The sequence below is a fragment of the Homo sapiens genome, chromosome 4 (genome assembly GCF_000001405.40).
Source record: "Homo sapiens chromosome 4, GRCh38.p14 Primary Assembly".
Lineage (NCBI taxonomy): Eukaryota > Metazoa > Chordata > Mammalia > Primates > Hominidae > Homo > Homo sapiens.
In genome coordinates this window covers 149,138,197-149,154,220 of record NC_000004.12, presented here as the reverse complement: position 1 = coordinate 149,154,220, position 16,024 = coordinate 149,138,197, and the positions used below count along the sequence as shown (strand labels likewise).

Sequence of the window (16,024 nt, the reverse complement as noted above, 5' to 3'; positions counted from 1 at the left end):
TAGTGATGGCACAAAAGAGAAGCTTTGTGTTCTACTGCTCAGCGCACATTCGGCCAGGTTCCTCTTGCAGGGCCTGTCAATCTTTATGGGATTCTCTTAGAGGTTTCCCCCTTTTCATTAAAAGGGGAGAAACCGTACTTTCATTTCATACCCAAACTCAACTCTCTCCCCAAATCTTAATGCCTCTCTCCCCAGTCAGCCTTCCTCTTGCTTTGATCGGGATGATGCCACCAAGTGGAAGGAGTTGTTGGATACACATTTTCTAAACAGGTTCTTCCCCGTAATCCCTGCTAGGAAGATGATGGGGTCCCCGAACATAGAACATGAGGTACATTGGTTCTTGGTTTTGGATCATAACAGCAACTTTAGAAATACATATCCTATTTGACGTCTTATTACATGTATAAAATTTCTCACACACACTACTAATCTATACATTTGCCATTAAGGATCTGGGTTGCAAAATGATACTGGAAAGTCCCAGGCAATGTGAATCTTTAAATGCTCACTTGCATCTCTTACAAATATAAAACTTGATTCCTTAACTAATTCCACAAATGAACCCTTTGTTACATAAGCTGCTTCTGTGGTTGTACCTGGCTCCCCTGAGGTGGACATGTCCTCATTCAGTGTGTTGTTCCTTCCCTTCCCTGGAAATGACTCCTGAAAAAAATAGATTGCACTTCAGAGAGAGTAGGAAAAGCCTCTCTCATACACCTAGGAACTACCAACTCTCTTCTTTGTAGCTACCAACTCCATAGTCTTTCATCCTCATCTTTTTTCACACAAAAAGAGAAAAATAGAGAATCTCCTACAGCAGATGAAGGGTCATACGAAGTTGCAATTTTCTTAACACTCACCTAGCAACAGGCCCAGTGAATTCTTTCCACCATATTTCTCTTGAGTATTATAACATAGACATAACAGTGTGGATAAAGATATAAATGTAGATATATGAAAAAATACATCAGGAAGCTCACTGCTGTGTAAACTCTATAGAGTTTTTCCTATAATACTGATTCCATTTTCCTTCTTTTTTATCTTTCCTACTTTTTTAAGAAAAAGTCATTGTTTTGTTATTGTCACAAAAATTTCTTTAGTTTTCTTTTCAGAGAAAACTAACTGAATGGGTCGAATTCATCCAATATATGACTCTGAAGCCAGACAGTCCTAGATTTGAATTCTGTACAACCTTGGGGTTTTATGTACCCAATAAGGTAGCAGAGTTTATGAAAAATGTATTTGCATGGAAGTGGTTTTTACAACTATCAACTTCACTTCTAAGAGCTCTGCATGGAACGTATAATAGGGAAGTAAAAAGTATAGTGGAGAAGATGTAATTCATTCATTCAGCAAATAATGATCAAGTGCATTCTAAATGCCAGACATACGTTGAAGGCTGAGGTAACAACAGTAAGTAAAAGAGACAAAAATCCTTCTGAGGGCGATCGCATTCTCATGGGAGGAGGTAATAAATGAATTAAAGAAGAAAAATATTGAATGTGTTAGAAGTTCATAAGTGCTAAAGGGATAAAAAGGAAGCATAGTCATCACCAATCCATAATTCAGTGATAGTGGGCTGTTGTGTACCCTAGTGAGATTTGCTTTTCTCCTCTGTGAAAGAGGGTTTGTGTAGATGATCATTAGCTGGCTTTTGGTACTGACATCCTGGGGGACTTTCCTTTCACTCTTTTCTGGTCTAGTTTGTTGGTGCTGAGTTTAGAATGGCCTCCATATAGGGAGTACTCCAGATCCATTCACTAAGGGAGGGAAAGATTTAGGTCAGACTTGTGTCTGGACAACTGATGTGATTCATAAATTTGCAGTAATTGCTTTTAATCTACTCCTTTTTCTTCTTTGGTCCTACAATTCGACTGGATAATCAAGCAACTATATATTAACTTTACCCTACAGACCTTAGACCACCTGTCTGTTTCCTGTTTTCCTGGCCAAGTATCCCTTCGGGGAAAATCTGATTGGAAACACAGCAGGATAAAACTCATTGCTCTCCTTTCTGTGTTCCATCTGTCTCCCCTCTCATCTGGGAGATCCCTTGTTCTCTTCCTCATTATTTCTCACGTTCAAGGCTAAGTTCTCCACCTGTGTGCCTGATCTACTGCTTCCCATCTTCTCCCAGATGTTGCTCCTATAAGTCCTACTCTTTCCCATCACCCCAGTATTTTAAATCTCTTCCTCTACTGACTGTTTCACACAAGCTGAAAATATTACCATGTTTTTCTATAGAACTCTTCACTCCCGGTTGGGTGTGGTGGCTCATGCCTGTAATCCCAGCACTTTGGGAGGCCAAAGCAGGCAGATCGCCAGAGGTCAGGAGTTCGAGACCAGCCTGGCCAACATGATGAAACTCCGTCTCTACTAAAAATACAAAAAATTAGCCAGGCGTGGTGTCAGGCACCTGTAATCCCAGCCTCTTGAGGCAGGAGAATTGCTTGATCCCGGAAGGTGGAGGTTGCAGTGAACCGAGATTGCGCCATTGCACTCCAGCCTGAGCAACAAGAGCAAGACTTCGTCTCAAAATCAAAACAAAATAAAAGAAAACAACAGCAACAACAAAACTCTTAATTCTCTCTAGCTAATGCTCTAATATTCATTTTTAATTCACCAATCATGCCTCTCTGAAAAATAGTCTGCATTTCACATATCCCCCTACTCGTACCCTATGAACTTTTAAGGCAATGATGCAGGCTTCTAACTGTAACTGCATTTGAAAGTGGTTTCAGAAAGGTCTTCACTGATACACTAATTGCCAAGTGTTTTCACCACTCTCTGCCTCATTTGACATTATTAGCCATAATCTTTGTAAATCTCACCCCTTAGTTATTATCTGGGATACCAATCTCTTCTGTAACCCCTCTTGTGTTCTCTCATAGGCCCTTTTTCTGTCTTATTTCTCCCTGAATGTCAATGCTGTTTCTTTCCTACTTCTCTCTTTTCACTTTAAATCTACTTGCTCATTCACTTTAAATCTACTTGCTCAATTTCAGCCACTGCATTATAATACTCAACTCTCCAGATACAAACACCTTTTTTAGAATCTTTATATCTGGTTTCCTCCTGGATAGTTGCATATTTGAATGTGGGGCATTGCCCCCGATATTCTATATCCTTAATAAAACCTACCCCCAAATGAACTCATAACAATCCTCTCCCCCTTGACAAACATGCTGTTTTTATACATTTCCTTTTCTGGTGAAGGGCTACCATCTACTCAAGATTATATTTTTCATATTTCCTGCATTGATACATATGAATCTAGTTATTTATTTTAACTACTTATAGACTATCTGGGTCAAATCCTGTTTCTGCCATTCACTAGTTTTGTGACTTTGGGCAAGTAAATTAACTTCTTCATGTTTGAATATTTTTCATCTGAAACATTAAACTTTTATAAGTAGTATATGAGGCTGTTATTTCATATGTTCATATAGTCATATGTATGTGTGTATATATTCATACACATATATTTACCAACACTAGTTGTTACTAGACATTTTAATTTTTGTCAGTCTTACGCATTTGAAATAGTGTGAAATGGCTGTCTCATTTTAAATGTCTAACCCCCACTGGGCTTTGCATGGAAAAATGAATACCAATTGGGCAAGTGCTTAGGAAAGTGCCTGGCATATAGTAATATCCCAGTAAATGTTACCTAGTGCTTTTATTGGTATTATTATGTATTATTTTTTGATAATTCTACAATACATGATTTTATCCTTTTACTTTTAATGAATTAGTCTCTAAATTTTACCTGTTAAAAGTCTTGTTCCCATTAATATGCTAATCTATTCTCTTTGCAGGTAATTGATTTGGGAATAGGCATATAACCAATGCTCACCAAAGATAGGTCTGGAAATGGTTTCCATACTCCTGTGTCGCAGGAAGATAGGGATTTTATATTCTTCTGGATATTGTCTGTCTGGATAAGATCCATGTTGCTGACACCAAGAAGGAGGCCAGTCTGTGATCTAAGCTGAGGTATTAAGAATGGCAGAATGAGAATTAGAAAGGACTGGATTCTGGAAGACTTGTAGAGCCGCTGCTCATTATAAGCCTGATTTTAATGGTGACAGTAGATTTCCATGGTAATTAAGTCAGTTTTATATAAGGTTCTTGATGCCTATAGTCAAAAGAATTCTAACTACACATTGTCCTATAATAGTTTTTAAAAATTTTATACTTCCACCAACAACATAAAAGGGGTTGTATTTATCCATTGCTTTATGAACACTTGGTATTACCAGCTCTTTTAATTTCTGAAAACTATATGGACGTGAAATTGTAGCTAGTTGATTTGTAATTTAAATCTCTGTGATTTTCTAGGTATATAGTCATATAATTCTTAAAAATCAATTTCTTTATTGATAGTTTCTATCTCATTTCTTTTTCTTCTCTCATTACATTTGCTAACACTTTCTAGTACAGTGTTGAGAAGAAGCAATCATGGTAACAGCAGCTTAAACGAAGTGGAAGTTTCTCTTTCTTACATTTCAAGAGGAGTGGAATCCGTCAGTTTGGGGCTGATATGGTGCCATATGTTGTTAGACACTCATTCCTTTTCCACCCTGGCATCCCTTGTTTCATGGCATCCTGCACATCAGCAGCAACAAGAAGAAAGAAGAATACAAGAAGAAAGAACAAGATCATGGGCCAGGTATGTATTATGGAAGACTCCTGGAAGCTGCAGCATAGAACTTGTATTCATTTGACTAAACTTACGCTTCAAGGCAGATATGTGGGGGAAAAACTAAGGTAGGAGATGTTTCTAATGGTTTGCCATCACTGTATTTGCTTGCTTTTTAGTAATAATTAGGTTAGGAAATTGACTTTCTATTACTACTTTTGTTCATTCTTTCTTTCATATGTTGATTTTTGGATTTTATTAAATGGTGCTGCATTCATTGATACAATGTTTTTCATATTGTCAATTTGGTGCATTACATTAATGTGTTTTCTAAATTTATATCCTCTTACTACTCTCAGAATAAACCATATTTAGTTATGAAATTGTTTTACCTTGCATATACACACATGCACACACAGTAGGAATCAGTTTACTATCTTTGTGTTATTTTGGCATCTATTTCGTAAATGATAAGGCCCAATAATTTTCCTGGTTCTATTATATTTGCAGCATCATTAGCAATCTCATATTAGTTTCATAAAATTAGTGGAGAAACTTTAACATTTTTTCTAAATCCTGGGGAAGTGTTATAAGAAAAGTGTTATCTATTTCTTGATAACTTTCTAAAACACAACAGTTAAAACCTATAGACCTGTTGCTTTTCTTGTATGTAGATTTTTTTCTCTAATGATTAAATATCTTTAATTGCTATAGATTTGTTTAGGTTTTCATTTATAGATGAGTACCTTTTGTTAATTTACACATTTGTAGATAACTAACACTTATTATTTTTTCCCACTTTTTCAGTTTTATTCTATTATTTTTCTAGCCCTTTAACTGTAGTTTAGATAAATAATGTTTAATCTGTCTTCAACTCTATATTAGGTAGAATATGCTATAGTCTGATATAATGAAAATCCAAACTAAATTTTCAGGAATATTTTGAATAAGACTCCAGGCCTCTGAAGACGGCTTAAAAGCTTTAAGAGCTTGAAATATTTTAATTTTGTTCCTCTCCTGTCCCTAAAGAATTGCCCTTATATGCATAGTAGAAGATTACTCAACAGCATAACTGCATTCCAGTCCATAGGTTTGGACAATGAGAGAAGAAAAAGATTTTTTTCTCATTTTTCATTGAGGACATAACTCAGAAAGTGTAATATCACTTCCATTCACTAGGACTAAAGAACAATACTCTCTTCCTCCACTTTGATTGGCTTGCATTGGTTCATTGGTTGCCTACACACACATACACACACACACACACACACACATCAATTTATATAAGTAATTTTAGACATTACATAATTTATCATGGTTGAATGGGTCTAGGTTCTAATCCTGGCTCTACAGCTTTTCAAACTGTAACATCCAAGAAATCATTTAAATTTTCTGAAACTTGTGCTTATCTGGAAAATGACAGTAATAAAACATATCATGAGGTTGTTGAAATGCTGAAAGTAAGGCAAGCGTGCAGTTCAGTGTCTGGCACCTGTTGGCATTCAGTAAATGTGCACTTCTGCATATTTACAGGAAATACTTCAGTAAAGGCATGATTACATGATTCCCAAGAAGTTCAGAAGAAACTGCTGTGTGATTTGCTTGCTATGTTCCTGCTCTGGGGACACAAGACATTGTTTTTGAAAGGTGACAATTCTCTAATCATGGTACACAGAGATAAATACTTTATTTTCCTCCAGGGAGAAAAAGAGATGCAGTAAATGCTTAATGGGTTTTTCTTCAATGCCACAAAGTCAGTAGCTATAAATCTTGAACACAAGTTGAATTGTTTTTGACTTTTTATTTCCTTAGGATGTTTTGACCGCATCATTAAACTCTATCACCTGTCATTGACCTAATTTTATCATGGAGTTCAAAGGATTAAATAAATACTTTAAAAAACAAAAAGGAAACAAAAAAAAAAAAAGAAAAGGAAAAGAGGTTCTATGCAGTTAGTCTGATGTCCCTGCTAATTCCTTTAATTTGCTATTAATTCTTTGTTTTTGCTTGAAAGAGTGCAGATGAAGCTAAAAAACTCTTGACTTTCTTTTATGGCATTGTATTTCCGTAAGAAGGGAGGCTATAAGGAGTCTAGCTCAATTTTTCTTATTTTATTTAATATTTATCAAGAGCAATATCTAAGAATAAGATGAAAAATGCTTGTCACAAACTCATTTAAGTGAATTTTGAAAATGTAGGTTTAGAGGTTCTTGTTATTATCCTTTATCTCACAGATTGGTATACCTAAACCTTAGAATTCAAACATCATCCTGTGCACACTCGCTAGAACAAGTGTTTACTGCACAAAACAGAAATTAGTTAGATGGGATTTTTTTCTCTTGAATGAATATGAAATGAGGCCTAAGAAATGTATTTTTACCCCCCCCGAGAAGCAAGTAATATAACTTGTTTCGTATTATACATTTCTATCCAAAATCTCATCTAGGAAAAAAAATCAGTTAATTCTAAAGTTGATAAGATAACTTCAGGGGAAAGATGAGAACAGATCATGGGAGAAAGACAGAACAGAGTCGGAGAGACACAGCAACAGCCACATGGACAGACAGACAGAGAAAGAGACAATAAGAGGGAGAGAATGACAGAGAGCGAGGCACTTCCCTCTGCATCTAAGTGGTCACTTGCTCCCTTGGTTTGTGTCTGCAGGCTGCCAAGTACAGAGTGGGGGCAGAGAAAGCAAGAGCAAGTAACTTCACAAAATCTCCATAAACTCATTTTAGTTAAAAATTTGCACTTCTTCTATCAAAACATGTTTTTTTTTTTTCTTCTTAAGACTACTCATATAAGGCTAGGTGCAGTGGCTCATGCCTGTAATCCCAGCACTTTGGGAGGCTGAGGCAGGAGGATTGCTTGAAGCCAGGACTTCAAGACCAGGCTGGACAGCACAGCAAGACCCATCTCTACATTTTTATTTAAAGAAGCCAGGCACAGTGATTTATATACCATTGGAAGAACTGAGACATTTGATGTTTGCCTTCGTTTTTTTTTTGCCTTCCTCGATCTGTCTCAGGGGAAGGTGCTATTCCTAGAGAAAAGAACTCAATACCTCCCAAGGCACAAGCAAGGCAAACCCCACCAAAGGCCACATCTAGGCTATTATCTTACAATGATATTTAGTGTTTTCCCCCAGTCAAATGGATCTGGCTTCCAAAGTTTAAATCCAGTTTTACATAAGCAATCTATGCTCTTGATTTCTTTCCCTTAGACTTCCTTTCCACTCACAGCTATCATTATTGGATTTCCTGAGAAAATTGTTTTTTTCCCAAACTAAAATTAACCTTTGTTGAATTAGATTTTCCACAAAATAACATGAAAAGGGCATTTTTTGCAAATATAACTGATTGTTCCAATAGTGGTGGAGATAGCTTGAACTGAGAAAATATGCATACTTTGAGGTAATGGTGAAAAAGAAACAACCTGAAGGGAAGCTTTATTTTGATGAGTAACTTTCTTGATTTACATTCCCACTCTACCACGCTATGTGCAGCTGAATCAAGAGTTGATCTCTTGTAGCCACATTTCCTTCTGCTCATCCCTGCAGTGTGCCTATGACACAGCCATCTGTCACATGGTATGACTGTAACCCCCACTCATTCAGCATTAGCCATACCAAGTGTAATGAAAAGCAGAACAATATCCTCCACACTTAGTTAAAATGTCACGGAAAGCTGTGAAAAACACACACACAGAGTGTTCTGTGTGTCCATTTTTCAGCATGATATATTTTTAGTGTTCTGTAGCCAGGAAGTCTTAATTCAAATCGAAGAAAAATATCAGTGGACTGCATATGGTATACTTCTCAGCATCTTTAAACACATTTGAACTAAACAACATCATCCCCACTGTATTTTCCAGGACTAGACTGTCACTGCTAACATGTACAACCCCTCCATATCAGGGGATGGAAAAGCACAAGGAGGAATCATTGCCGGGCATTTTTCCTACCTTCCTGGATTTTCTCAGGGTTCTCACTAGTCCTTCCTTATCTCCCCCATATCTTATGGGGCCTTGAACTTGAGCCTCTTCTCTTTTATGGTCTTTCCTATTTACATTCATCCCCTACTCTCACCCAGACCCAGGTCTTTAGCGATCATCTATATATTGATGATTCCCAAATTCATATTACCAGCATGACCCTTCCCCAAAATTTAAATTCCTATATCCAGCTCCTGACTTGAATTCTTCACTTGGATGTGGAAGAAGCAGCTCAAACTGAATATGTTAAATATGTCCAGACACCGGCCCCCAAACATGCTTTCCCACCTGAGTTCATGGCAACTTCAATTTTCGAGTTGTTCTGCCTCAAACGTCTTAGTAATCTTTAAATACTTTCTTTTTCTTATAACCTAAACCAAATCGGCAGCAAGTCCCATTGGCTTACCTTAGAATACATCAACAACTCACCCACTTCTATTCACAACTGCTACCATTTGTTCTAAGCCACAACCACCTCTCATGGGCATTCACAGATTGCCCCCAACTGATCTCCATGCTTCCACCCTTCCCTCCCACCGACCACACCCCCTGCAGTCTACTCTCTTCACAATCATCAGTAATGTTTACAGGTAAGTTAAATCGTGTCACTCTTCTTTTCAAAACTGTCCAGTCATTCCTCGTGTCACAGTAAAAGTCATAGTCCTAACATCTTATGTGATTTTTCCTTCACTCCATTACCTTTCTGATTCTTCCGGCCATATTGGCCTCCCTGATGGTCTTATTTGCAAACACACACATTAATTAATTAGGAGGGCAGGAGGAAACTTTGGGAGGTGATGGACATGTTTATTGCATTGATTGATGGTGATGGTTTCACAAGTGTATATTTATCTCCAAATTCATCAAGTTGTATACATTAAATATGTACAGCATTCATTGTCAATTATACTTCAAAAACTGGCTTTTTAAAAAAAGAACCATCACTAATGTTAAAAGTCTTTCACATTTGGTATTCCTACTTGATGCTTAACTTTATCCTTTATTTTAAATTACTTTGTGTGTTGGCTATCCTTGCAACCAGAATGTAGGCTATTTGAGAGCAAGTTTCTTTCTCTCTCTCATTAATTTTGTTCATCCCCAGCACTTAAAACAGTGCCTGGAATATAATGAAAGACAGAAAGAAGAAATATAATGGAAGGAAAAAGAGAAAAAGAAAGAAAGAAAGAATAAAAAGAACAAATGAATGAAGGAAGGAAGAAATAGAGAAAAGAAAGGAAAGAAAGAAAGAAAGAAGAAGAAAATGAAGATGAAGAAAGAGGAGGAGGAGGAAGAGGAAAGGAAGGAAGGGGGGAGAAATAGAGAAAAAGAAGAAAGAGAAGAAGAAAATGAAAACAAAGAATAAGGAGGAAGAGAAGGAAGAGGAGGAGGAGGAAGAGGAAAGGAAGGAAGGAGAAAAAGAAAGAAAAAGAAAGAAAGAAAAGGAGAAGAAGAAGAACATGAAAACGAAGAATAAGTAGGAGGAGGAAAAGGAAAGGAAGGAAGGAAAGAAGGAAGGAAGGGAGAAGGGAAGGAAGAGGAAAGGAAAAGAAAAAGGAAGAAAGGAAAGGAAAAAGAAGAAAGAAATGAAAAGGAGAAGAAGATGAAAATGAAGAATAAGGAGGAGGAGGAAAAGGAAAGGAAGGAAGGAATGAAAGAAGGAAGGAGTGGAGAAGTGAAGGAAAAAGGAAGAAAGGAAAGGAGGAAAGACGGTTTTTTTCCTTCAGTGCTGGAAAAGTAGCCTACTAATGGAAAATGGTGCTTTAATTTTAGGGAGTACTTTTCTTCTTTATGAATATATATATATATATATTAAATGACTCTACTACCCCTTTTTTATTTGCTTCTTCATTTTTCATCTCCCTCTTACCACTGCCTCTCAAAATATTTAGTGAAAGGTGTTGGAAGATGGGGAATGGGGAGCAAAGTGTTGAAAATGGTTTGGGATGAATGAGATTAAGAAGATGTAGTAAACACACATACACACATATGCAGAGATTGCTTCTTCCATTAAGGCAAACCTCACTTCATTAATCCATGTAAAATGTCCCAGGTGTCTTGTTATTCTATTTCTAAAAATTCCAAAATGTAATAGTTTTTAAAAGTATATTTTTAGTAATTCCTAACATTGAAAGCACTGACATAATTTATTGCATGTTGAAAAGGCCACAGGAAATGAACTCCACAAAATGATAGGATAAGCAAAGAACCAATGCTTAACACAACTTTATGCCATGGGCTCCAAGAATGGCAGAATAGATGAATAAACAAAGTAGTATAGAATTCATAATATATTAATGTCAATATGTAAAGTGTAGTCACTATTTAAGAATACAGACTATAGCAGTACAATGTAAAAAATACGTAAAAATGAAGTAATTAGGCTCTTTCATTTATCATAAAATCAAGAAGTGATTTATCCTCATTTCCCTAAATCCTGTGTTTTGAAGAACTAGCTGAATAAATTGCCTCAATAAATACAAAAATTTGTCAAGTTTGAGGAATAGCTAGTACAAAGCTAATGAGTAAAAGTTTATAAGAATATTCTCTATTCCAAAATATGCAAAGTATATATTGCTTAGATAATATATCTAGCTAATGTTCATCAGCAAGTTAGCTTACAAGGAACTATTATTTATCAGTGTATGGCCATTAAGCTCCCATTATAGTGCATAATTTCGTAAAGAGAGTAGAGAATGCGCCAAAGTGTCTGTTGAATTAAACACTCATCCCAAATATGAACAAAATATGTTGATGACTCTTTTTCAAACTCTTACAGTTAAAATTCTTACCTTTTGCATATGGGTGAAGCTAAAGAATACTGGCTTGGAATAATGTTTTTAATGCTTAAAATATAAAGGAAACCAGTATATTGAAATGGTGTCAAAAAATTAAGAAAACATTTATGGTAATATTTCTTATTTAAACATTAAGTAACAAGCAAAATCTAACAATTGGTCTAATGACTACCACAATATTAAAATAGGAATGAGAATAAAATTTCTAAGTATCTATAATAAATACACTGTTATGTAAATATCTTATTTCTATTGGAGACAAAGTCATCGATACTACTAATACGAATGTTTTGGGTTGTCTGCATTCATAATGGTAGGAAATGTCTAAATTTAAGTTATAGGTTAGTAAAAATAAAATGTACCTTTTTCCCATCTAAATCTGCAACCCCCCTAGATTTTCTATCTACATATCTCTTGAGGATGGGGGGAGTCCCTATGTAGGAATGCTTGGTTTAGCACCACTTTTGATTAAATGGTGTTTTCTTGAGCCTGTTAAATGATGCATGTTTTTCTTTTCCTCTTTAAGGATTAATGTTTGGTTAAAATATATACGTATATGCCTTTTGTAAAGATTAACTGTCATTTTAGTTGTGATAGATACTCACTTATCCCAAGGTAGCACATCCATAAGTATATTCATGTTTCTTTCCATGTTTCCTCCCATATTCTCAGTAAAAACTTTGCTGTCCTGTGCATTCTCCAAATTAGGTTGCAGAAAGCATTTGCTTAAATGAAATGCTCATTTGTGATGCTTAATCAAAAGGGGAAAAGCTTTTCCCCAGCTTTTTCTAACTTGACACATGAAATAGCTTAAAGTATTTTCAATGAGACTCATTTATGTGGTTGCTGATTAGTAGCTGGCTGCTTGTTTGGGGTGATTGATACTCATTTCTGGAGAACTAGGAAATGGAGTTTTGCCAAATTTAGAAGCTGACCCACTCTAATGGGGTCTGTAGTTTTGAACTAAAAAAAAATGAGTCTTTGGGTGTTTAAATTTGTTTGCTCTTGGCAAAATACATCTCAAAAGACTTCCTGGAAATCCTATAATTGTTAAAAATTAACCTTAATGACTTCAATGACTTCAATTATATTAAAAAGTTTAGAGTGTTTTTGCTTTTCAATGAAGGTTAATCCCTCGGGAAAATATGTGTGGGTTTATAGTGAACTTCAGATGTATACATGCTATGAAATCTTCAGAAACCCAGAACAGATTCTGAGTCATTAATGCAGGGGTGGTTTGGATCGTAAAGATCTGTCCTCAAATTAGAAGGCCAGAGTATCATCTTAACTTTACTTCTGCTAGTCTGCAGCACTTGTCAGTGACAAGAGTCTTAAGATTCTATGATTGTTTAAATGTGACTTAGAAGGTCTGACACTAACCCAATTTTCCTTAGGGAACTTATTGAGAAACACACAAAGAGAGGCTTTCAACACATCCATCAGGAAAAGATGGAAGTTGATATTGAATGAATCCTCTATGACAATTAATTTTAAATAATGTATGTCCCAAACACCCACAGTATACAAAGTCAAAATTAGTATTTTGGAATATAACCTAAATAAGTAATAGTTTTTCCTTATAAAGCTAATAATCCAAAAAATAAATATCTTTCCAATATATCCACTTCAGATTGTGCTCGTTTAAAATGTTTAATATTTGCAGTCATCCTCATTTATTCAACAAATATGTACTAAACACTTACAATGTCCTAGGCTCCGTGCCAAGTATGCCAAACATAAAAATGGATAAATTACAGGCCCTTCTCTCAGTGAGCTCCCAGGGTAGGGAGAGACTAAGAGTTAAATATTCTTTAAGGACACTAGCTCCTTCCACTTTGGGTAGCTCCACTTCATATCTAGATGTTGTATCCTTGTGCTTTCTTCTTTCTCTTGGAATTAGAGAAAAAATTAGACACCTTTAGTATTCCTGCATTATGTATTTCATAAACTCATGCTACAAAATTAAGGCTAAGAAATATACTTCCCATTTTTACAGAAGCTTGGCATTGGTGTGAGTCACAGACTAAGAGAAAAATCATTCTCCCTATTAGAATCTGCTGATATGAAAATGTCCTTCCTCGGTTTCTTAGCATTTTTCCACTTTAGTCACCAGTAAGTCCTACATCCTAAGAAAGGAAACTGTTTTATAAAGTTTGAAATTTTAATAAATTCAGTTCTTATAAGAGGTTTGACAACGAGGGCAAAAACCTTGAGATGAATACTGTATTGTCAAGAGTGGGCATACTGCGGCTTTATTTAGTCATGCTTTTCCTTGAGTTATTTCTTATCAAGAGAGTTAATTAACAATTGCAGTATTTAATTCAGCCTTAAAAAGAGTCATTAGCCCACTCATCAAGAAAGACTGACAAACTGTTCCTTACTGTTTATGAAATCTTGATTATACCTCAAAGGCTATTCTCACCTCTCCAACAGGCTAACAATCTGTGAAAAGAATTATGGGTAAAAGTGATTTTGGAAATGCTTAGAATGGATCCCAGCTGTGTAGACCAAAAAAGAAAGATAAAAGAGGAAAGAGAGAAGTAGAAAAAGACTAGGCCATGAGAGGAACAATGGAAATGACATAGGAATGCATGATAATGGGAGAAAAGTTCAGCCAAAAAAAAAAAAGCAACTAGTATCAAAGTTAGAGTTTTCAAAGTGCCTGGAACTAAGGAGTAAAACAGATGATGGAGTTTGAAAAAAAAAATTTGGAAATTTATTGACTCTTATAGACTTAAAGAAGCCCTGTAGGACTAAAAATAATTAAGATGAGCCAAGTTCAAGAGACATGAGTTTCCACTGCTCTTTTTATGTAAAAACATTTGAGAAAACCAATTTTTTTAACTAGAGAGTAAAGAAAATTAACAGTCACAGTGCTTGTAGAATAAAAGACAACTTGGAGGATGAGAAAGCAGTGGAAGAAAAAAAAGGAACTCATGTCTCAGTAGCTTTTGGAAATTGAATTGTTGATATGGGGGGCAATAGTTCAAATGAGGTTCACTTTCAACTTTACTATTTAAAAAAGAGGATAAGTTTGCTTGGTTTTGAAGGGGCTGTGAAAATATTGTGTGCTTAAATTGACCTCAGTTTCTGTTAATGTTGGGCCACTGTTTTGTAAAAGGTGATTATTTTTCAGTAGCAGTTTTTGTTTGTTTGCTTCAGTAGCGTGATTATTTTGCAGTGTGTGGGGTCTCAGTTGTTAGGTTGAAGAACTATAAACTATTTTTCAAATTATCATGTACAAAAATGTATGTGCTGACATTGGCACAAACTCTATCCCACAGTTCACTCTATTGTTTTCCTGCTGCTTCTTAACTACTTCTATTTCTTCCCCAAATTTTTAGAATTAATTTTTTAAAAGTTTGCTGTAAACACACACACACACACACACACACACACACACACACACACACACACTTCTTTGTCAAATGGATTCAGCCCCAAAAGAAAGAGAATAAAAGGACAGAGAACACTTTCAATTTATCTTATTGCTACTAGAAAATTTCCATTAGAATTTCACTTTCATTTCACGAGCGTTACTATGAGCCCTTCTAGGTTCTGAAACAATGGAGAGGCCCTCATTTTGAGACTCTATCAGTCTCCTACAAAGTTTTGTTCTCATTTTATGCATTCTGTAATGAACACTAAAAGGATTAAGTCCCCACTGGAGTTTTATTAGCTGGAAGGGAGAATTTTAATTTACTTATTCTAGAATATAGATGCAACTGGGTGTGGTTTTCTACATGACTTAAGAAAAGTAGCTGGTGTCATAGTCTGGGATTCTATGACAGAGTGAAACTGATGTTCTATGAACAAGCTTTCTTAGAGCATTAGCTTCCAGGGATCTTCTGTGGCCAGCAACTTGTCTTGCCCTCTTCAGGGTTCCCTTCTCTAAAGGAAGGGCCCATGAATGATGAAACTGATGTCCTTTCAATTTCAAGAATTTGGAAAGTTATTCGTATCTTTGCTTCTTCAGCTGAGGTTGCCAAAAATTTTCTGTGCTTTCTTCTTACCGTATCTAATATATTAGGTTTAGTCCCCAGTAATACTGGGGTTTTTTAATGAATGTAAACAGTATGACCAAAGGCTTATTTAAGGATATAGGTTTCTGGCTAGAGTGTAATTTCTAAGCCAATTCACTCTTTTTCTGAACATGAGGAAGTTAGTTCATCATACTTGACTGGAACATTTTTATATAATCCCTAGAGTGAGCCTTTTCACTTAGGCTCAACACTAAAGCTCAAACAGGCACCAACTGATGTAAACGTTAAACCTAATTTTACCTAGAGAATGTGCTTGTATGCAGCCTACAAAATATAAGGGAAGTTTGCCCATCAGCTGCTACTCCTGCTTGCTTAGTCTTCGCATGGGAAGACTTTCATCTGACAGAACTAGTTGTCTGTTTCTTCTCAAAATTAAGTTTCCTTAGTGATTTTCCCACCCTCATATTTATAATTATATCTGGTTCACTGAGACATGGAAATCAATAGAGGATGTACTGTTTTTCTCAGGAGGATGGCAGCCAAGTGAGATGTGTAAACCTTAGTCTGTCTCTGCATTTCCCATCCCTGCCCTGTGGCCAGGCTGTAACAGT

The 16,024-nt window shown here is 35.9% G+C and overlaps 1 long non-coding RNA gene across 1 annotated transcript; it reads left to right on the top strand.

Moving 5' to 3' along the window:
- Positions 1-55: 55 nt before the first annotated feature.
- LINC02430 (long intergenic non-protein coding RNA 2430) lies at positions 56-6,428 on the top strand. The gene is made up of 4 exons (XR_001741884.2): positions 56-328; positions 3,819-3,996; positions 4,439-4,672; positions 6,176-6,428. It is a non-coding gene; the product is annotated as a long intergenic non-protein coding RNA 2430 (long non-coding RNA).
- The last annotated feature ends 9,596 nt before the right edge of the window (positions 6,429-16,024 follow it).